This window comes from Homo sapiens, chromosome 3 (assembly GCF_000001405.40).
Source record: "Homo sapiens chromosome 3, GRCh38.p14 Primary Assembly".
NCBI lineage: Eukaryota > Metazoa > Chordata > Mammalia > Primates > Hominidae > Homo > Homo sapiens.
Genome location: NC_000003.12, coordinates 171,701,555 through 171,725,859, shown reverse-complemented (window position 1 = coordinate 171,725,859; position 24,305 = coordinate 171,701,555). Strand labels below are relative to the sequence as shown.

General features: G+C 37.7%; 1 protein-coding gene across 10 annotated transcripts in view, besides 1 other annotated feature; it reads left to right on the top strand.

The window, feature by feature from the left end:
* Positions 1 to 24,305, top strand: part of PLD1 (phospholipase D1) — a 210,080-nt gene that overhangs the window by 84,624 nt on the left and 101,151 nt on the right. For 9 of the 10 annotated variants that reach the window (XR_007095693.1, NM_001130081.3, NM_002662.5 and 6 more), the window contains exons 8-11: positions 1,072 to 1,164; positions 11,815 to 11,967; positions 16,151 to 16,300; positions 17,022 to 17,105. Coding sequence is in view for 9 of the 10 variants with exons in the window: in NM_001130081.3 (NP_001123553.1) it covers positions 1,072 to 1,164; positions 11,815 to 11,967; positions 16,151 to 16,300; positions 17,022 to 17,105 (480 nt within the window). In the remaining variant the exon portion in view is untranslated. Of the gene's footprint in view, positions 1 to 1,071; positions 1,165 to 11,814; positions 11,968 to 14,043; positions 15,920 to 16,150; positions 16,301 to 17,021; positions 17,106 to 24,305 lie in introns of those variants that run through there. The other variant, XM_047448318.1, reaches the window with a different exon arrangement.
* Positions 6,616 to 7,201: an enhancer, noted in NCBI's record as "OCT4-NANOG hESC enhancer chr3:171436449-171437034 (GRCh37/hg19 assembly coordinates)". NCBI's record gives its function as "activates a minimal SCP1, AML or CMV promoter by ChIP-STARR-seq in naive H9 embryonic stem cells {active_cell/tissue: H9 hESC(naive)}" and the evidence as "EXISTENCE:reporter gene assay evidence [ECO:0000049][PMID:30033119]".

Sequence of the window (24,305 nt, the reverse complement as noted above, 5' to 3'; positions counted from 1 at the left end):
AGAGCATCTCCTGTGATAAACAACGGTAGCAACTGCTCCACTGTCTTTGTCACGTGCTTACAGCACAGATTCTTTCTAACCCAACAGTGGAAGTGTTCAATACCTATAGCAAGTCTGATGTGTAGGAGAATACATTAAAAATCAAATATATAAGATCTCCTTTTACAATCCCTTATAAAGTTAAATGTTTACTACTCATTTTGATGATTATTTTAAAATAATACTATGTAAAATATGTTTTATAGCCAGATGAAAGTTTATAATTTTCCTTCACAATATTAGAGCTTGAAAACATAAAGAGCTTAACTTTCAAGTTCTAGTTAAGAGCATTGTTAGTAGTTGTTTCAAAAAAAGTTTTTTTTAAAGTTTAGCCTTTGTTATTGCTTTTTCTTGTCAAATTTTTCAGAATTAAGATATACTGTTTTCAAAACTAGTAGCTGTGCTCTGCTTCCTTTGGCATGGCTCAACTAGCTCAACTAGTTTGCTAGAACTGGGTGTGAAGAGACACAGAGATGTCCTGGAATCTGTGGGTGAGATGCACCATGGTCTCAACAGCAGGTGGACCATCCCTGTGCAGGCATGTGGAAATGCATGGAGTCTTTTTTAGTTTGTCACAGTGTCACAATGTTGAGGAGGGAACACTCAACATTTTTTTATATTTATATATATTTATTATACTTTAAGTTCTAGGGTACATGTGCACAACGTGCGGGTTTGTTACATATGTATACATGTGCCATGTTGGTGTGCTGCACCCATTAATGACGAGTTAACGGGAACACTCAACATTTAGAGCCAGGAGACAGGATGCTTAAGGTCCTGTGTAGTGCACAACAGAATCACACTGCCCCGAATGCTGAAGGGGCTATATCTCACCAGTGTATTTTAGGGTTCGCCTCTAGGGTACCCGGCCTAACAGGGCACTGAGCTAGTTGAGAGCGAGGAGGAGAGAGTAGGGAGGAAAGTCATGTGAGAATGAGATGGTTTATTTAGTCCCATGTTGGGAGGCTGTACGAGCTAAGTGGGAGTGGGAAATTTGAAGGTGATGGGTTAATTTTCTGTCTCTTTCAGAGAAGGTATGATAATGAAAAGATCTGGAGGACACAGAATACCAGGCTTGAATTGCTGTGGTCAGGGAAGAGCCTGCTACAGATGGTCAAAAAGGTAGGAATTAGTGAGTTTTGTGTATTTGTTTGTTTTAATACACTGGGTATTTGGGCTAGTTTTACATACCAGTTTTAAATTATAAATCCTTTAAAAGCAATGGCAGAACAAATTTTTAATTATATTTTAAAATCCAAATTCCAGCATCCATTTAAATATTCTACCCAAAGCTGAACTTGTAGGCAAAGTGTACAGATTATATTCATGAAAACCCAAGGACAAAGAACGCACAAATTGGCCAGCCAAAGAAGACGTACAAATGGCCAATAAGTATACGAAAAGATGCTCAACGTTATTAGTCATTATGGAAATGTAAGTCAAATCCACAATGAGATACAATTTCACACCCATAAGGATGGCTATAATCAAAGAGATGGACAATAACAAATGGTGGTGAGGGTGTAGAGAAACTAGAATATTTTCTGTAGAGAAACCGCAGATATTGTTAATGGAAATGTAAAATGGTGCAGCCACTTTGGAAAACAGTCTGGCAGTTCTTTAAACTGTTAAACATAGTTACCACATGTCCCAGCAATTCCAGGGATTCACCTAGGAGAACTGAAAAAATATGTCTACAATAGAACTTTTCTATAGCAGTATTATAATAGCAGTATTATGGATAATAGCCTTACAAGTGGAAACAATTCTAATGTTCATCAATTGATGAATGGATAAACAAAATGTGGTATTCCTATAGAGTGGAATATTATCCAGCCATAAAAGGAATAAATCACATCAAGTTAAAAAGCTTCTGCACAGCAAAGGAAACAGTCAACAAAGTGAAGAGATAAACCACAGAATGGGAGAAAATACCTACAAACTACCTATCTGATAAGGGATTAACAACCAGAAAGAACTCTATAGGAAAAAAATCTAATAATCTGATTTAAAAATGGACAAAAGATCTGAATATACGTTTCTTGAAAGAAAACATACCAATGGCAAACAGGTGTATGAAAAGGTGCTCAATATCATTGATCATCAGAGAAATGCAAATGAAAACTACAATGAGATATCATCTCACCCCAGTTAAAATGGCTTTTATCAAAAAGACAGGCAATAACATACTGGTGAGGATGTGGAGAAAAGGGAACCCTCATACACTGTTGATGGGAATGTAAATTAGTACGACGACTACGGAGAACAGTTTGGAGGTTCCTCAAAAAACTCAAAATAGAGCTACCATATGATCTAGCAGTTCCACGTCTAGGTATATACCCAAAAGAAGGAAATCAGTATATCAAAGATATATCTGCACTTCCATCTGTGTTGAAGCACTATTCACAATAGCCAAGATTTGGAAGCAACCCAGGTGTTCATCAACAGATGAATGGATAAAGAAAATGTACATACACATGATGGGGTACTATCCAGCCATAGAAAAGAATGAGATCCCGTCATTGCAACATGGATGGATCTAGAGGTCATTATGTTTAGTTAAATAAGCCAGGCACAGAAAGACAATCTTCACATGTTCTCAGTTACTAGTAGGAGCTAAAAATTAAAACAACTGAACTCATGGAGATTTTATCAGAGGCTGGGAAAGGCAGTGTGGAGGGGGATAGTGGGGATGGTTAATGGATACAAACAAATAGGATAATTAAGATCTAGTATTTGATAGCACAACAGGTGACTATAGTCAATACTAATTTAATTGTATGTTTTACAATAACTATAAAAGAGTATGAGTTGTTTGTAACATAAAGGATAATGCTTGAGGTGATGGATACCCCATTTATCCTGATGTTATTATTACACATTATATGCTTGTATCAAAGTATCTCATATACCCCATAAATATATAAACCTACTATGTACCCACAGAAATTAAAAATACATTAAAAAAAGAGAAATGAAGACCATTCATGGTCATGGAGTTTCTTTATGGGGTGATGAAAATATTCTGAAATAAGACGGTAGTGCCGGTTGCACAACTCTGTCAATATGCTAAAAACCATCGCATTGTGAACTTTTAAAAGGTACGTTTTATGATATGTGAATTACATCTGAATAAAAATCTAAAAATTAAATGGAAAAGGATATGAAGTTCTGATACATGCTACAATGTGGATGAACCTTGAAAACAGGATAAATGAAAACATCCAGATACAAAAAGGCACATGTTTTATCATTCTTATTTATAAGAAATTTTCAGAATAGACAAATCTGTAGAGACGGAAGTAGATAAAGGGTTTCCAGGGAATGGGAAGGAGGTTGCTTTCTACTAATTTGATACTGGTATGGGGTTTATTTTTGGGCCAATGAAGATATTTTGGAACTAGATAGTGGTGATGGTTATACAACTTTGTGAATATACCAAAAATCAAACTGAACTGTACACTTTAACAAAAACTTAAGTAAAATTGTGCAGACTTCAGGGATGATAATTTTACACTTATATTTCTGAAAAATGTTTATCATGGTAAGCGTAATATAGACAGAAAACATTATTTTATATCTTACGTCTTACCAACTAAAAACTCCTTGAGGAACAATATTCTCATCTGATTCTTATCTGTATCCCCCAAGTTTGGCACATAATAGACAGTAACTGTTGCAATAACAATGTACTGGGATTTTGAAAAACTATTAAAACACTGAAGAAATCAATTATAAATATTTTATATCTGTATATAATATTTCCCCCAAATTGAAAATGATAAATGTGTTTATGTTTAAATGTGGAATTGAGCTATGTGTATATTCAAAATATATAAAATTAATACTGGCATCCACCTTTACACACACCGATTTAAGATATACTACCAACAAAAAAATACCATTAAGCTGGGCCTTTACTTTCTGGGATTTGAAGGGACAGAAGAAATTACAAGGAAAAGATCAGAAGATTAAACTAAAGAAAACTGAAAATTTTTGTAAGGGAAAAAAGTTTTTTTTCTTTTTTTTTTTCTGAGATGGAGTCTTGATCTGTCGCTGGGAGAGAAGTTTTACTAAAATAAGAAGGGAAATAATATACTAAAAAAAGTATTTGCCTTCAAATACACTTCTCTAACTTTTAGAAACTTGGGGATTCCTTCTGACCACTCCTCCCTAGTCGTTAACTTTGCCCAAATCAGCTGCTACATGCCAACCACAGTTTTCAGACTGTAACCTTAAGCATTTGTGATTCTTTGACCAAAAATTCTGTAGGCTGTCAGAACCCACCTGTCTGTGTGCACAGCAGTCTGGGAAGTGTCAACAGCTCCCAGGAGCAGCCATCAGCCAAGAACTGATCGGAGTCCAGCCCCATCCTCCTCAGTTGGGGTGACTCTGCAGCAGTCTCTACACTGTCTCCCAGAACTCCTTAGCTGGCTTACAGCACAGCTGCCCACAATAAAAAGCATGAAAATACACTCTCTGTGGCTTCCTTCCTTGCTCTTTCTTTCTATCCTTCCCTAATTGGTGCTTCCTGGTGCCACTGTCTTAAACTCTTTTATACACGTATATCCGTATCTCAGAGTTTACTTCTGGGACAACCCAACCTAAGGCGTCTACTCAAGGAATGGAAGCCATGGTCTGGTTTATTCAGTCATTTTTCGAGTGCCTAATGTATGCCAGATGGTGGCATACTCCTGTGAAAACAGTAGTGAACAAGATGAAGTCTCTGCCCTCATGGAGTTCTGTTAGAGGGGAAATGCAGGCACTAAGCCGACAATTAATGTAAATTGTATAAATTCAGGTAGCGATGAGAGCTTTAAAGGGGAAAAATGGTTTGTGAGGGATCTGGGGATTGCAGAGGGTGACTTTAGCTCTGGGAGTCAAGGAAAGGCTCCCTGAAAAACTGACGTTTGGATTTAACCCTTATGAGAAGCAACAGCTAGGAAAGGTGAGGGAAAGGCTTTGTTACACAAAATAAATATGCCCCCTCTTTTTAAACTTTGGATTAAATCATAAGTCAACTGGGACAATCTAAAAAGATACGATCCTCCCTGGAATGAAATGTGTCATCACTGTAAATTGTGTAAATCATTCTGTGAAGATTAAAGCCCTGGTTCCATATTAATAAATATTTCCTGAGTCACATTTTTGGGATTTAAAATACCAGAAAGCATATATAGATGATAACATATAATTTAGAAAGTTTCTCACAGTGGAAGACTTTTTTTTTTTTTTGAGACGGAGTCTTGCTCTGTCGCCTAGGCTGGAGTGCAGCGGCCTGATCTCCGCTCACTGCAAGCTCCGCCTCCCAGATTCATGCCGTTCTCCTGCCTCAGGCTCTCCGAGTAGCTGGGACTACAGGCGCCCGGCATGACGCCCGGCTAATTTTTTGTATTTTTAGTAGAGACGGGGTTTCACTGTGGTCTCAATCTCCTAACCTCGTGATCCGCCCGCCTCGGCTCCCAAAGTGTTGGGATTACAAGCGTGAGCCACCGCGCCCGGCCTTTTTTTTTTTTTTTTTTTTGAGACAGGGTCTCACCTTGTCACCAAGGCTGGAGTGCAGTGGTATGATCTCGGCTCACTGCAGCCTCGACCTCCTGAGCTCAAGCGATCCTCCCACCTCAGCCCCCTAGATAGCAGGGATACAGGTGCATACCACCGCACCTGGATAAATTTTGTATTTTTTGTAAAGATGGGGTTTTACCATATTGCCCAGGCTGGTCTTGAACTCCTGAGCTCAAGTGATCTGCCCACCTTGGCCTTCCAAAGTGCTGGGATTACAGGCGGGAGGCACAGCACCTGGCCAAGACGACTATTTTATTAATGTCTAAATGAGACTTACTTTTAAAGATGACACTCCTTCATAACTTTTTTTCATTTGTACCCATAAAAATACATTCTGATCACTTGTTAATTTATTCTACGTTGACAAATTGTAGTAAGGCAAACAAGGAAATTGAATTTTCAGTTAGGTCTCATAATGACCTTATCTGAGAGATGAGTTTTAAAAAAAGACAAACAGAGATCCTACAATCTAAAACATCTGCTTAAACAGCACATTTATTGAGAAACTTCTCTGCACCTGGTCGTAAGTTAAGTTTCTTATGTCAAATAATGTCTTAAGAAAAAGAGATGTATAGACGTTAACAAATAAATTTAGCATTTATTAGGGTGGTACAAAAGTAATTGTGGTTTTTGCCATTACTTTTAATTCCTTAGCACTTTCTTACTTAGTGTTTACTTTAGTGAACTATGAGCTGTGCCAATAATTAAAATTTTTAGACAGTGATAGTGTCTAAATGGTTTTATTTACTCTCTGGAATCCATTCATGCAGCCATTATTTAGGCGAGATGGTGGCCTTGCCTGAAAGCTTGCTCTGGGCTGCTAGAAGATAGTTCTAGGCATTGAACAGATAGTAGTAGACATGACAGCCACATTTCCTGTTCCCAGGGACCTTACGCTGTACTGTAGGAGACAGACAATAAACAAGAAGACAAATACTTCCAGATGTGCTACAAAGAAGCTAAATCAAGACAACATGATGGAGGAGAGTTGGGGGTGATGAGGCAGGGATGGTGGAGAACAGCTTTTTTTTGAATCCAGTAGCCTGCTTGTAGAGGGATTTTTAAGGAGAGGTTTGATTGACAAGAAGAGACCATCCATGGAATTGCCTAGAAGAAACAGTTTTTACGCAGAGGAACAGCAACGATAGAGCCCAAAGAAGAAGACTGGCAAGTCTAAAGAAGAACCAACATTGACTAACATTGTGAGAGACAATAGTAGATGAGGCTGAGAAGGGGAGGGCTGGCTCAAGTGGGCTTATCTGCATTTGAATGCCATGGCAAGTAGTAACACAGGCAGGAGGTATCTTTTTAAAACAGACGGTAATCTCACATGGTTTAGAACAAGATTAGTTATAATAGTTCGCATGTATTGGGGCCAGGCACTGTGCTAAGCATGTGCATGAGTTATCTCAGTTAATTCTTTATGAATACTTATGAACTAGATGTTGCTGTTAGGTCCTCATGTTATATGTCTTATGTTATCCTCATGTTATAGATTTTGACATCATGCTCAATTACTGAAGTTCTTACAAGCAGTGAGTGGCAGGTGGAATTGGAGCCCAGGGAGGCTGACTTCAGGGCAGGCACTTGATCCCTGTGCAGATGGTGCTGACTCCTAGAAGGCTGGTTGATAGATGCCTTACTTGATTTATATATTCCTGAGAAAGAAAGCAAAATCTTGTTGAGATGCTCTGCATCTATGTTCATAAAGGATATTGGCCTGAAGTCTCCTCTTTTTGTTGTGTCTCTGCCAGGTTTTGGTGTTAGGATGATGCTGGCCTCATAGAATGAGTCGGGTAGTAGTTCTTCCTCCTCAATTGTTTAGAGTAGTTTCAGTAGGAACGGTACTAGCTCTTCTTTGTACGTCTTATAGAATTTGAGTGTGAATCCGCCTGGTCCTGGGCTTTTTGTCTTTGTTTTTGTATTTTGGTTGGTAGGCTATTTATTACTGATTCTAATTCAGAGCTGATTATTGGTCCACTTAAGGATTCAGTCTCTTCCTGGTTCAGTCTTGAGGGGGATGTATGTGTCTGGGAATTTATCTGTTTCTTGTAGATTTTCTAGTTTATGTGCATAGAGTTGTTCATAGTAGTCTCTGACAGTTACTTGTATTTCTGTGGGATCAATGGTAATGTCCTCTTTGTCATTTCTAATTGTGTTTATTTGAATCTTCTCTGTTTGGTTTTGAATCTTCTCTATATGGTTCAACATATGCAAATTGATAAATGTGATTCATCACATAAACAGAACTAAAGATAAAAACTACCTGATTATCTCAATAGATGCAGGAAAGACTTTTGATAGAATTCAACATCCTTCATTTTAACAACCCTCAATAAACTACACATTGAAGGAACATACTCCAAAATAATAAGAGCCATCTATGACAAACCCACAGCCAACATCATACTGACTGGACAAGAGCTGGAAGTATTCCCCTTGAAAACTGGCCCAAGACAAGGATGCCCTCTCTCACCACTCCTATTCAACATAGTATTGGAAGTCCTGGCCAGAGCAATGAGGCAAGAGAAAGAAATAAAAGGCATCCAAATAGCAAAAGAGGAAGTCAAACTATTCCTATTTGCAGATGACATGATTCTATATCTAGAAAACTCCACAGTCTTTGCCCAAAAACTCCTTGAGCTGATATACATCTTCAGCAATGTTTCAGGATACAAAATCAATGTAGAAAAATCACTAGCATTTCTATACACCAACAACAATCAAGCCAATTGTGAATGGAATTGCTTTCCAGTCAAATCAGGGAGGCAACCCCATTCACAATTTCCACAAAAAGAATAAAATACCTAGGAATTCAGCTGACTAGGGAGGTGAAAGATCTCTACAATGAGAATTACAAAATACTGCTCAAAGAAATGAGAGGTGACACAAACAAATGGAAAATATTCCATGTTCATGGATAGGAAGAAACAATATCATTAAAATGGCCATACTGCCTAAAGCAATCTACAGATTCAATGCTATTCCCACCAAACTACCAATAACATTCTTCACAAAACTAGAAAAAACTATTTTAAAATTCAAATGGAACCAACAAAGAGCCTGAATAGCCAAGGCAATGCCAAGCAAAAAGAACAAAGCTGGAGACATCATGTTACGTGACTCCAAACTACACTACAGGGCAACAGTAACCAATACAGTACAGTACTGGTACGAAAACAGACACATAGACCAATGGAACAGAATTATAGAGCCCAGAAATAATACTGCACACCTACAACCATCTGATCTTCAACAAAGCTGACAAAAACAAGCAATGGGAAAAGGACTTCCTCCTTAATAAATGATGCTGGGATAACTGGCTAGCCATGTGCAGAAGATTGAAACTGGACCCCTTAGAAACTTAAATGTAAAACCTAAAACTATAAAAACCCTGGAAGACAACCTAGGAAATACCATTCTGGACATTGGAACGGGCAAATATTTAATGATGAAGACACCAAAAGTAATTGCAACAAAATCAAAAATTGGCGAATGGAATCTAATTAAACTAAAGAGCTTCTGCACAGCAAAAGAAACTATCAACAGAGTAGACAGACAACCTACAGAATGGGAGAAAATATTTGCAAGCTGTGCTTCTGACAAAGACCTAATAGCCAGTATCTATAAGGAATTTAAACAAATTTACAAGCAAAAAAACAAAAAATTCCATTAAAAAGTGGGCAAAGGACATGAACAGACACTTTTCAAAAGAAGACATACATATGGCCAAGAAACATTTGAAAAAATGCTTAACATCACTGATCATTAGAGAAATGCAAATCAAAACCACAATGAGATATCATCTCACACCAGCCAGAATGGCTATTAAAAAACAAACAAACAAATAAACAGATGCTGACGAGGTTTCAGAGAAAAGGAAATGCTTATATGCTGCTGGTTGGAGCGTAAATTAGTTCAGCCATTGTGGAAAGCAGTGTGATGATTCCCCAAAGAACTAAGAACAGTATTACCATTTAACCCAGCAATTCCATTATTGGATATATACCCAGAGGACTATAACCATTCTACTGTAAAGACTCAGTGCATGTGTATTTTCACTGCAGCACAATTTACAATAGCAAAGACATGGAATCAACCTAAATACCCATCTGTAGTAGACTGGATAGTACATGTACACCACAGCATATGAAATCATGTACTTTGCAGCAACATGGATGGAGCTGGAGGCCATTGTCCTTAGCAAACTAACACAGGAACAGGAAACCCAATACCACCTGTTCTCACTTATAACTGGGAGCTAAATAACGAGAACTCATGGACACAAAGACGGCAACAACAGATACTAGGGCCTACTTGAGGGTGGGGGGTGGGAGGAGGGAAAGGATCAGAAAAAAATGCCTGTCAGGTACTATGCTTAGTACCTGGGTGACAAAGCAATCTGTACACCAAACCCCTGTGACACAAGTTTCCCTATGTAACAAACCTGTATGTGTACCTCTGAACCCAAAGTAAAAGTTAAAAGAAAAAAATATATCTATTGACAAAAAAGAAAAAGGGAAGAAATCAGAGGAGTTTTTATGAATGGCATAATAAAGAAGAGCTTTCAATAAAAGCCCAGCATCAAATTACCTTGATATCTAATGACTAGTAAAAAGAACAACTACAAGACACAGATGAAAAAAAAACTGAAGAGGATCAGAAGAATTAATACTGTTAAAATGACCATACTATCCAAAGCAATCTACAGATTCAGTGCAACCCTATCAAAATACTAATGACATTTTCACAGAAATAGAAAAAACAATCCTAAAATTCACATAAAACAACAAAAGACCCTGAACAGCCAAAGCAATCCTGAGCAAAAAACAAAAACAAAAAACAAACCAAAGCTAGAGGCATTACACTACCTGACTTCAAAATATATTACAAAGCTATAGTAACCAAAACAGTATGGTATTGGTATAAAAACAGACACATGACCAGTAGAACAGAATAGAGAACTCAGATATTAATCCATGTATCTACAGCCTACTGATTTTTCCGAGGGCATCAAGAACATTCTTTGGGGAAAGTGCACACTCTTCAGTAAACAGTGCTGGGAAAACGGGGTTACCCTTTGATATCATAGCCTTGGTATTCGTATTGAGGAGTGTTATAAGAACTCTTATAAAATGTATAATTTCTGTGTTTGCTTTGAAAATTGTTATTGGGAATATTATTCATTATGTTGTTCAGTTGTATCATGTTAGGTCCCAAATGAGAAACTTTGTTTGGAATTTAGTTTTGGAGGAAATCCACTTATTTCTTTAATTTATTCATTTGACAAGAAAAACTAGGAAGCTTACACCCACATGAGTGTGTCATCTCTGTAATTATATTTACCTTTGTGGTTAGGTATTTTAGGTATTTACTTTCTGTGACCTTGACGTTTTTCCTTTTCTGAACCATACCACATATGTTCTTTGCTATAAGTTATCCTAAATCCACTCTATGCCCTTTTATTAGGAAGGAGATAACTTATGTATTAAAAAAAAATTAATGAAATGAAACTATGTGGAAATCAATGTAGGTCTGTCTACATTAAATTCCAAGTTATAAAGCCATTAAAACATAATGCAATTCCCAATTTCAGTAAAGATTTATTATAGATATATTTTAAATACTGAGTTCCCATGCTATATTTACAGTATTACTTAGTTTATATTCAGATGTTCCAACCTTACTATTCCATAATGTGGAAGTGCCTAGAGTGCTTTACTTTGTCTGGTATGCACTATTATGCCCACTTTGTTACTTCTCAGTTTTCAAATGATTCAGTCTATCACTCTACAATTGCAGGCAAATAGGAATACATGTTGTTATATGCAGCCTGATGAAGTTACCATTTGCATTCACTGTAAATGGATCCCATCTCCTCAGTCTTGCCCTTCCTGTCGTACATCCTGTGAGTGCTACCTGCCAATATTAGGGACATTCCTCCAGTTTTGCCATTAGTGTTTAAAGAGCTAATGAATTACTGTGAATTACTTGGTACACTGTTTCTTAGAAAAACGTAATAGAAAGGTTTTGTTGGGTTTTTTTTGTTTGTTTCATAGCGATTAAAAAAAATAAATCTCCTGTGTAGAAAATGTAATTATGTCTACAGTCTGCCAGAGTGATTACTTAAGACTTGTCATAATGATTAGTTCTTCTCGTTTTATTTACTCAATGCAACTTTTAAAAATACTTACTACCTTCTTACAGATGGTTAATAGTGAAAGATTCCTTTTTATTGTATATGAAACCAGACAGCGGTGCCATTGCCTTCGTCCTGCTGGTAGACAAAGAATTCAAAATTAAGGTGGGGAAGAAGGAGACAGAAACGAAATATGGAATCCGAATTGATAATCTTTCAAGGTACACATTTCAAATATTTAAAAAAGATTTCTACAAAAATGCCTTAAAAACATTTTTTTCTCAACCTTAAGTAAAAAAGGAGTTTAAAAAGTGTTAGAAAATTGTAATTTAGAGCTCATCCTCAATCAATAGTAATGAAACCACTTTTTTCCTTGTATATATTTTAAAGAGTATCCTGTGTGCAACAGTCTGAATAAACAATCCCATATGTAGATGTTTGCCTATGTTAACAGAAATTACTACTCAATTTGCCAGTTTACTAAACAGATAGATTAGAGCAATAGTTCACATTTTTAAAATAAATGAAACTTTTACTTTATAAATCAATATTCTTTAATTAACAAAACACCAAAAGAGTGATTTGTTTTATAAAAATTGTTACACACATATTTTAAGAAAGATATCTTCTTTTTCTCTGAGACAGGCTCTCACTCTGTCACCCAGACTGGAGTGCAGTGGTGCAATCTCTGCTCACTGCAACCTTCACTCACTGAAACTCTATCTTTCAGGTTCAAGCGATTCTCCCACTTCAGCCTCCTGAGTAGCTGGGACTACAGGCGCCTGCCACCACCCCCGACTAAAGTTTGTATTTTTTGATAGAGACGGGGTTTCACCATGTTTGCCAGGCTGGTCTCGAACTCCTGACCTCAAGTGATCTGTCTGCCTCGGCCTTCCACAGTGCTGGGATAACAGGCCTGAGCCACTCCGCCTGGCCAAGAAAGATATCTTGAAAGGACACTCATGTACATTTATTATAGATTTTATTAGTGAGTACATGTGTATGTGATCTTTCTGGAAGATTGTAGTTATACCATGTATGTGTGTCTTTATACATATATATCCATTTGTCTCTGTATAGTTCATTCACCATCATGTATATGAATATATATGCATTTCTCCCTGTGCACATAGTTACCAACATAGCTTCATATTCCCTTACTGATTTACATGTTTGTGTGTGTATGTGTGTGTGTGTATAAAAAGATGCTGACCTTCCTGATGATATTCTATGAGAATGGAACATTTAAGATTGTGACTGGAAATATAATGGTGCTGCCATTACACCTTCCTCCTGCATTCCTGTTTTACAGTGAGCCACAGAAGTCTGGCCACAGTTCTCACTGGTCCCTTACTTTATTGGCCACTTCATCTGCATTTCCCACCCTCACTTACCCGTATGTCATTGCCAAATGAGGCCATTCACATCCAGGTTTCATTACCTTCCTTCCTGGTGTAAGATCCCCCCCATGATTTTATCAAATAAGGCCAAATTCCCCCACTTATTTTTGAAGGGCATTTATTTTCCTGCCTTTATTTGAAATTCCTCCCTAATACGCCTTGCAGGTTCTATGAAGGCAGCATTTTTTTCTTGCCTCTTTCCCTTTGCTTTTCTTATGTCCATGTTTGGAATAGTTCTTGTTTTCCCCCTTGATACTGACTCACATCCTGTGATAATGTCTTATCTTGTTACTCATCTCTTCTGTAAAGTCTTCTCATAACTGTTTTTCCGAGGCTTTTTAGCTCAATTGGAGTAGTGCTTGCAGGATAGGTCAAGCCCAGGCACCTCCTGTGCCCTCTCGTCTCCATCCCTAGAAACCCGTGTCTCCACCACACGCGATGGGGATGCTTCACTCCTCTCAGCTCCACCACGTCTCTCCTCCCCTGTCTCCACAGCCCAGCAGCAGCAGCCTCTCCCTGTCTTCATGACTTTCAGACAAAAGCCAGCATCTACCTCTGACATATTGAGGAAAGCAGGTTGGACATGGCTAATCTTTATAAATAATTCTTTTAGAATCTGTGAACACAGCCCCCTTCCCTGCGTCTCATCAGGATCATTGCATTTCCTCAAAAAAGCAACCTCCCTCCTCACGCATAGTCTTCTTACATTGGTATGATGGTAGATTTCTGCCTACATGGCAGGGATACAGCTGGCTCCAACACTCTGTTTTCCTTCAAACTTCAAATTTGGATAACTTATTTTTCCCTCTTAGTAGTAGGCAGAATTCTGACACTTGGCATTAAGAAAAAACTTTCTGTAATCCACTCTGAATTTTTTTTTTTTTTTTTTTTTTTTTAGCATTTATAACTCTGTAAGAGTTTAGGATAGTTTAGTTATGAGTGACAGAAAAATCTAAAGCAAACTGGCTTATACCAAAGAGAACTAATCAGCCATGTTGAGCATGACTGATTCCCTTGTGGTAGCAAGATGGCCACCTCCCACACTCACACCAAATTCTGTGGAAGCAAGAGAGTCCCTTCCTGGCATTCCTGAGCAAGTAAGTCCTCACATTTGCTTAGGAATGCCTGAAAGGATACTCATGTCCATTTGTTAATAGGAATCGATGAACAAATGTACATGAGTATCCTTTTTTTTCTGGTATCAATATGTTTAATTGATTATTATTGCAAAAGAACAGTTTTCCTGGCCAGGTGCGGTGGCTCACGCCTATAATCCCAGCACTTTGGGAGGCCGAGGTGGGCGGATCACAAGGTCAGGAGTTTGAGACCAGCCTGGCCAATATTGTGAAACCCTGTCGCTACTAAAAATACAAAAATTAGCCAGGCATGATGGTGCGCGCCTGTAGTCCCAGCTACTTAGGAGGCTGAGGCAGGAGAATCGCTTGAACCCAGGAGGCGGAAGTTGGAGTGAGCCGAGATTGAGCCACTGCACTCCAGCCTGGTGACAAAGCAAGACTCCATTTCAAAAAAAAAAAAAAAAAAAAAAGGCTGGCACAGTGGCTCATGCCTGTAATCCCAGCACTTTGGGAGGCCGAGGCAGGCCGATCCCCTGAGGTTGAGAGTTCGAGACCAGCCTAACATGGAGAAACCCCGTCTCTACTAAAAATACAAAATTAGCCGGGCGTGGAGGTGCAGGCCTGTAATCCCAGCTACTTGGGAGGCTGAGGCAGGAGAATCACTTGAACCCGGGAGGCGGAGGTTGCAGTGAGCCAAGATAGCGCCATTGCACTCCAGCCTGGGCGACAGAGCGAAACTCCGTCTCAAAAAAAAAAAAAAAAAAAGAACAGTTTTCCTATGATTAGTGAAATAGAAAACTCACAATATAGTCATGCCAGAACCACCTTCTGGAACCAGAAAGATGGAATATGCCATTTTGCTTAGCTTTGTTGAAGAGAAGGGATGGCTGTCATGAAGCACAATTGGGATGATATTTCCAGAAGCTGAGGGAATGGATACTAGGGAGCACAAGGGGAAGTGCCCTCTAGAGCAGGGGTCGCCAACCCCCTCGGGGTACCAGTCCGTGTCCTGTTCGGAACTGGGCCGCACAGCAGGAGGTGAGCAGTGGGCGAGGGAGCATTACCACCTGAGTTCCGCCTTCTGTCAGATCAGCCACAGCATCAGATTCTCACAGAAGCTCGAACCCTATTGTGGATTGCACATGCGCGGGATCTCGGCTGCGCGCTCCTCACGAGAATCATATCACTTCCTGATGGCCTGAGGTGGAACGGTTTCATCTCGAAACTACTCCCCATCATCCGTGGAAAAATTGCCTTCCACAAGCCTGTCCCTGGTACCAAAAAAGTTGGGGACCACGCCTGTAATCCCAGAACTTTGGGAGGCCGAGGCGGGCGGATCACGAGGTCAGGAGATCGAGACCATCCTGGCTAACACGGTGAAACCCCGTCTCTACTAAAAATACAAAAAAATTAGCCGGGCGTGGTGGCGGGTGCCTGTAGTCCCAGCTACTCGAGGCTGAGGCAGGAGAATGGCGTGAACCCGGGAGGTGGAGCTTGCAGTGAGCCTAGATCGCGCCACTGCACTCCAGCCTGGGCGACAGAGCGAGACTCCATCTCAAAAAAAAGAAAAAAGAAAAGTTGGGGACCGCTGCTGTACGGGAGCCAACAGCTCTCTAACTAATACTTAAAAATAGAACCTCACCTTACCCCTCTTTCTTTATCCTCCTCATGGCCTAGCACACAGCTCTAGGTCTATGGTAAGTACCTTTATGCATGTTTGCATGAGTGAATGAATAAGTAACCTGAACATTTATTTTTGTTATATTGAATATATTTTTAGAAATACTACCAAAAAATGTTAAATGCCTGCTTTCTTGATGTTCTTTGCCTCAAATTTTCAGTTTGTGTTTGGTATATTACCAAATAAAAAAGAGCATGAGATAGAACAGAGTGACCAGTCTTTTCAATATTTGGCTTTTTCTTTAAAGGACACTTATTTTAAAATGCAACAGCTATAGACATGCTCGGTGGTGGGGAGGGGCTATAGAAGAATTCATCCAGAAACATGGCACCAACTTTCTCAAAGATCATCGATTTGGGTCATATGCTGCTATCCAAGAGAATGCTTTAGCTAAATGGTAAGTTATTATTTCTCTAAGCCTGTCAAGGCAGTCATAGCATCTAATATTACACTGGCCTAAATTCACCTGGAATCAGTTTTCAAAACTGTGAAAGATTATGCATTATACTTAACAAGGGCTTCTCTTTTTGTGATAATTATGGGACTACCTGATTATAGATTAGTTTTTCAATTGTTGCTTTTAAGATTTTTCACAGTGAGCTTAGCTAGCTTTAGATTTTGAAGTTTGAATTTTAAAGCTAACTTCATACATTTCTTTAATGATGCAAATGGAAGGTTTATTTAAGTCATTACCCCTAATTTAGGAAAAAGCATTTACTTGCTAGATATTTCTTTTAAATAAAGTCATGCTTAGCATGTTTTTCTACCCGTGGATTGGAAGCTAGTTTGTTTTCAGTCTCAGAACTGTATGTAAGAAAAACTGTATGTAAGTTCAACAGGATAGGAAAATTAATCTGGCTCCTTATGATGATGAGGCTCAATAAATTTGTTGTTCTCTAAGCAGAGAAAAATCAGGCTGCTTACACTTACTGCCCTTCCTAGGCAGCAGAGGAAACTTGGTATTTTCAATCCTTGTTTTCCAGGTCCACAAAGTCAATGGTGGTTATGTGTTATGTGGAGACTCTAGGCAGTGGCTTCCATGTTTTGCTTTACCATAAGATAAGTTTCTTTTCTTTTCTTTTTTAATAACAAAAAGGAACAATAAACTTGTCTTTCAGGTATGTTAATGCCAAAGGATATTTTGAAGATGTGGCAAATGCAATGGAAGAGGCAAATGAAGAGATTTTTATCACAGACTGGTGGTTAGTATTTGTCCCTGGGAATTTTTTTCTGGAAGTCTCTATGTTTAGAAATGTACAGTGGTATAGTGCTGTTCAAGAATTACACATTATGAAAATCAGCTGTATCTGTGGATGGTTTGGCCAGGGTCTCAACCAGTTGACTAAGCCTTCAGTGAAAGGCCTTTTCAAAAACCTTGGCCTCAACAATATTCATAAAATACTTAGTTTGAACAATTAGGTTTTATATTTGCATTTGGAAGCAGACTTCCAAGTTTTCATGTCAGTAAAGATTATACTGTAATGCAAGTACAGTTATAGAGGTAATGGTGTCTTTGGATGTCTTTTTCTAATTTTGGTATGTCTGTCATGAGGGCCAGTGAATATACTTCTTCTAAATTGTCCTTTTGATGTTGAAATAGTTCCACTTGCCTGTTACCGTAAAAATATCCTCTGTAATGACTAGGCCTGGTCAGCTGTTCTAGAGATACATCCGGTTTCAACTTTGTGACCACCTTAAAAAAATATCCATAAGAGTTGCTATGCTTATTAAAGTCACCAGAAGCCTCATATCGGAAACTCATTTAACTCTTGGGAAATTTACTCCTGTAGTTGGTGTAGGCATTCTAGTCTGACTTCAGTTCCAATCATTCATCTGCCTGGAAAGTTAAAACCCATTACACATGCCAACACTGGCTACGATGGATATGGAAATGTCTAAAATGTGTTTTCCTTCTAGGAACTTAGTAGTAGTTGCCTGAATTACCCCTTATTTTACTCTATCCGGTTTTCTTCCAAAAGGTACCTTATAGGAACTGTTAATATATCATCATAATTTATTCCCTTCTAATTCTAGGTTTTGTGGGCAATATCAATATCTAATTCAAGAATGCAAACACATCTTTTGCTTCGGTTGTCTGGAATCTATAATTATAAGGCATGCTTTCTTAACCTTTGCCCTGTTGACATTTGGGGCTAGATAATTCTTTGTTGTAGGGGGCTGTCCTATGCATTGTAGGGTGTTTAGCGGCATCCACTAGGTACCAGTAGTAAGTTCCCAGTTGTGACCACCATAATATCTTCATACATTGCTAGATGTTCCCTGGTTGGGGTTGGGAGAGGATGCAAGATCCTTGTCGGCTGGGAATCACTGATCTAGAGGGGATAGACAGGGTATGTGGTGGCCAGCATGCTCATGCTTGTGGAGGAGCTTAATTCTGGTCTTTCTATTGTTACCAAATTTTGTCTTTTCAGTCAGTTACTAGGAGGAAAAAATGTTTCATGCTTAGGAGCTATTTCTTTGGTTGAATATTTTATGAACACTTGTGATAATAAATTTGTGCCAGTGAGTACTATATTCTTTAAAAAATATTTCTGAAAGTTTGGTGAAGATGTGAGAGAGACTAAAAATAATTTTTCTATTGAGCCTAGATTTTCATGCTTTATGTCTGAACACCAAAATTTTTTTAACTTTTAAATTCAGGGGTACAACTGCAGGTTTGTTAAATAGGTAAACTTGTAGCATGGGAATTTGTTGTATGGATTATTTTATCACCCAGGTATTAAGTCTTGTACCCACTAGTTATTTTTCCTGATCCTCTCCCTCTACCTTCTGAAAGGCCCTAGTGTGTGTTGTTCCCTTGTATGTGTCCATGTGTTCTCATCATTTAGCTCCCACTTATAAGTGAGAACATGTAGTATTCGGTTTTTTGTTCCTGTGTTAGTTTTCTAAGGATAATGGCCTCCAGCTCCATCCATGTTGCTGCAAAGGACATGATCTCATTCTTTTTTATGGCTGCATAGTATTCTGTGGTGTATATGTACCACATTTTCTTCATCCAGTCTACCATTGATGGTCATTTAGGTTGATTCAATTAAACATATAAAGAGATGGAACTCTGAATGTTTTCCTCTCTACTTTCAGCAAGAGAATGAATCGGGGTTACTTATTTTTCACGACTGCACTAGGATACCATTTTATTACAACACATCATTAGAAATAAAACCTTCACAGTAACTTCCCTCAAACAAGTAAAGAAAATTCTTGTTGTACAAGCATATTGCAAAAAGGAGCATTCAGAAACTTAACCAAACACTAGTATGCGTAGATCTGAGAGAGTGGGGTTATCTACCAGTCTCTGTATGGAGTCAGTATGTTAAATGTGTCAGAAATAGAATTAATAAAACAGGAGAATACAAAAGAAAAACAATGAACAGAGATTTTTAAAAGAGGGTGTTTGTAAAGGGTAGAGAAACAGAAGAGACAAAGGTTGGGCCGGAGACAAAGGTTATAAAGAAAATAAATCAGCATTGCATTACTAACTGACTCACAAACAAAGACTATTCCAGGTAAAAGAATACATGTTTTAAAAGTATTTAAGTTGGTTTTAAATGCAACATTCTTTAAGTTGGTTTTAATATTGTTAGTGTTTTTCAAATGATGGGTTGAGCCTCTTTAGTAATTGTGTATTAAAATAATTTGGTAAGTTGTGACCAGCATTTAAAAAAAAAAAGAATGGCATAGGATAGGAAAGGGAAGGGAAAAGAAAGAAAGGGTACAATGTAAGTGGTAATAAGGGCTACTAATTTTGGAAACTTTTATATCAGTTGTAGATAGATAGATAGATAGATAGATAGATAGATAGATAGATAGACTGACTGACCCGGTGTTGGTTTGGGTGTATAATGTATTTCTTTCTGCAGCTTATGGTCCAAAAGTTTAAAAGTTTTAAAGCCACTGACTTTCAAAAATGGTTAGTAACCTTTTTCTTTAAAGAGCAAGAGAGTAAATTTGTTTTAGGCTTTTCAAATCATGTATGGTCTCTGAAGCATATTTTTTTTACAACTCTTTAAAAATATAAAAACCATTCTTAGCTCACAGGCCATACTAAAACAGTCTATGGGCAACATTTGGCTTGTGAGCTATAGTTTGTTGACACCTATCTTAGAAGATAGATTTAATTTACCACATTTTATCAATACTAAGAGCTAAATGTAGTGTTTTCCAAAGTTGTACCATTTTACATTTTCACCAGCAATGTATGAGAGTTTCAATTCTTCCACATAATTGCTAGCACTTGATGTTGTCAGTCTTTATTTCAAAGGGTATACAGTAGTGTTTTATTATGATTTTAGCTTGTATCAGCAACATCGTTTCATGTTGAGCAAATTTTCATGTGCTATTTGGACATTGGTTTAACTGTTCAAATCTTTTCCCTTTTTTTTGAGAGGGAGATTGTGTTAGTCTTCTTATTTAGTTGTAGGAGGTATTTGTACATTCTAGTTAAAGTGATTGTTCCATTTCATTCTGGCCTCCATGATTTCTGTTGAGAAATTTTCCATCTCTTGAAGACATTGTTCCCCTCTAAGTAATGTGTTATTTTTCCTCTGAGTGGTTTCAATATTTTCCTTCTGTCTTTAGTTTTCAGCAGTTTGGTTATGATGTTTGGGTTTATCCTGTTTGGGGTTCTCTGAGCTTCCTGAATCTGTAGTTTTATATCTTTTGCTAAATTTAAGAAATTGTTAGCCATTATTTCTTTACACATTTTTTCTGAACTTTCCTCTTTCTCTCCTCCTTCTGAGTCTTCAGTGACACAAATAGTATCTTATTTATTTGCCTTCAAATTCATTGACTCTTTCCGCTATGACAGGGTCCCCAACCTCCAAGCCAAACTGGTCCCCAGCCTGTTAGGAACCAGGCCATGCAACAGGAGGTGAGCCAGAGCTTGTCGGGGGAGGTAGCGAGCATGAGCATTACTGCCTGAGCTCCGCCTCCTGTCAGATCAGCCGTGGCATTAGATTCTCGTGGGAACATGAACCCTATTGTGAACTACGCATGTGAGGAATCTAGGCTGCCCGCTCCTTATGAGAGTCTAACTGGTGCCTGCTGGCCTATCTGAGGTGCAACAGTTTCATCCAGAAATTATCCTTACCCCCAGCTCCCACCCATGGAAAAAATTGTCTTCCATGAATCCGGTTTCTGGTGCCAAAAAGGTTGGGGACTGCTGCTCTATGATCTCCATTCTGGTATTGAGCCTATCCTGTGAGGTTTGGGGAATTTATTGTTTGCTTTTGTTTTTCTAGTGTTTTTGGTAATAGTGTTTTTCACTTTGAAAATTTTTATTTGGTTCTTCTTTATATCTTTTTCTATAAGACTTTTTTGTCTTTTCATTCATTTTAAGAGTGTTCACCCTTATTAGAGCATTTTTATAATATCTGACATAGCCTTAAGTAGATAATTTCAATATCCATGTCGTCTTGGTATTGACATCTGCTGATTCCCTTTTCTGTACAAGATAAGGTTTTTTTTTTTTTTTTTTTCCTGGTTCTTTGTGTGCCAGGTACTTTTAATGTATTCTAGAACATTTTATTATTATGTTATAAGACTCTTGAGTCTTGTTTGAATCCTGTGGAGAATGTTAGTATTTTTGTTTTAGCAGGCAATTTACCAATTTCAGTTCAGGCTTAAAGTTCCAACCAGCCTTTTATGAGTGTTGTTTTAATGCCGGTTTTGTTGTTAATGCCTTTGTGGTGCTATTCAGATCTGCCCCATATGTGTGCCACCTAGTGGCCCTTCTGGGACTTCGGTGGTGGTCTATTCCTCAGTTCAGTTCTCAGCCTCTTTGGAGTGATGTTTAGGATGAAATCCATGCATAGGCAGCTTGGGAATGAGCCAGGAAATCAGAAACAACTTTATGGAGCTGCTTTTCTGAGCTCCTCTCCCCAATTTTTAGTTTCCCATGGCTTCCCTTTTTAGTCTTCTAGCCAGAAAGATGGGTTTTTATTTACTGTGCTCTGCAATGTGCTTTCTCTGATGGCACCCATGTCCAGAGCCAAGCCAGGTGTATTTACATCTCCATTGGAGAGGAGATTTCCCCTGCCTCAGAGGTTTTAGTAACTTTGGGCTTTCCACTGCAACCCTGTCACTACCAGAGATCCTTTGCTTTCTCCCCAAGCCTGAACTAGAGGATTTTTGAAGTTCTCTCTGTGCCAATGCCTGTTTCCAAGTTTTCCCTCCAAGTCAAGGAATCAAAGGGAGAAAAATGTTAAACTTACCACTGGTTAGGTGGTACTTCTTTTTCTATATTGAGGCTTCCACTTATTTAGCTCTTATGTAATTTTTCTCAGCAATATTTTGTATTTTTCTATGTATAGGTCTTTACATATTTTGTTAAATTTTTTACTGAGTACTTTATGTTTTTTGATATTATTGTAAATTATATTTTAAAATTCATTTTCCATACAGAACTAGAAATGCAATTGATTTTTGTGTATTTACCTTATAGCTTGTGACCTTGCTAAATTAATTTATTAGTGCTGGTAGCTTTTTTGTAGATTGCTTAGGGTTGTCCTATAGATGATTATGTGATCTACGAATAAAGACAGTTTTACTTCTTCTGTTCTAATCTGTATGCTTTATATTTTATTTTCTTGCCTTGTTGCATTGGCTAGTATCACCAGTAAAATGTTGAATGAAAGTGGTGAGAATGCCTTGTTTCTAATCTTAAGAGGAAAGCATGCAGTTTTGTTATGTTATGTGTGATGTTAGAGATAGATTTTTTTATAGGTACCCTTTATTACACTACGGAAGTTTTTTTCTATTTCTAATTTGTTGGGAGTATTTATTGTTAATGGATATTGAATTTCATCATTTCTTCTGCATTTGTTGAATAATAACGTTTTTCTCCTTTTTGTTGTTACTGTGGTGAATTGCACTGATTGATTTCCAACTTTTAAACCAACCTTATATCTTAGGATAATCCCACTTGATCATGATGTAGTATTATTTTTCTAAGTTGCTGTGTTTTTGGTAAATATTTTTACTTCTGTGATCATAAGGGATGTTCTTTAGTTTTCTTGCATTGTCTTTATTTGGTTTTAGTATCAGGATAATGCTGACCTCATTAAATAAGATAGTAAGTGTTCCTCCTTTGTTTACTGAAAGAATTTAGGTAGTACTAGCATCATTTCTTTCTTAAATATTTGATAAAATTCAAATATTTAATAAATTCTGTAAATGTTTAATAAATTCTGTAAAGTTGGCAAAGTCTGTAGTTTTCCCTGTAGGAAAGTTTTAATTACAAATTCAGTTTTTCAATAGCTATGAAGTCAGTTTCAATTTCTTTTTATTTTCATTATGAAAATATTTTATTCAAGGAATATGTTTATTTTATTTAAATTACCACAAATATTGGCATACAGTTATTTTTAATAGTTATTATTCATTTAATATAATTATAATGCCTCTAGGCCCTATAGTGATTACCTGTCTTTCACTCCTTTTTTTTTTTTGAGACAGGGTCTTCCTTTGTTGCCCAGGCTGAAGTGCACTGACATGATCGTGGCTCACTGCAGCTTCAACCTTCTAGGTTCAAGCAATCCTCCTACCTCAGCCCCCCGAGTAGCTGGAACTACAGACATGAGCCACCATGTCTGGCTAATTTTTTAAATTTTTTCGTAGAGACAGGGTCTTGCTATGTTGCCCAAGCTGGTCTCAAACTCCTGGGCTTATGCAATCCTCCCATTTTAGCCTCCCAAAGTGCTGGGTTTATACATGTGAGCCCATCCTTTCAATCATTTTTTTGTCATTTATTTTTAGCCTTGCTAGAAGTTCACAAATTTTATTGATATTTCAAAGAGTCAACATCTAGTTTCATTGAATTTTCTCTGTATTTTTTCAGGTTTGTATTTCATCAAGTTCTACTCTTATATTTATTATTCCCCCATCTTCTTACTTTGGGTTTAATGTCTTCTTTTTCTATCTTTTAAGAAAGGAAAGTCTGATCATTAATTTTTAATTTTTTGTCTTTCTCATGTAAGCATTTAAAGTCATTAAATCTTCTAAGTGGTACACTTACTTAGAGGTACGTCTTAATATCTCCGCAATCAGGATGCATCTTATGCTCTTACAGTTATAGTTGTCATGATGTTTTCTTTCTTAGTGGTACATGCAGTAACGATGCATCCTACAGTCACTGGTGTCCTAGATCCAATGAAATGTAATATTAAACAATAACTTTGTTTACAAGTAAGTAAAGATTCTTACATAATAATGCTTGGTAAGTTATAGCTGCTTTCTTCTTGCCATGCAGCCATGGTTTATACTTTTATAGCATGATATAACAAAATCTTTTTTTCTTTTTATGCATTATCCTCAAAATTGAGGGCTCCTCAAGAGCTATCTTAAGATTCTTCAAAGTATCTTGTAGAATGCTTAGCATACAA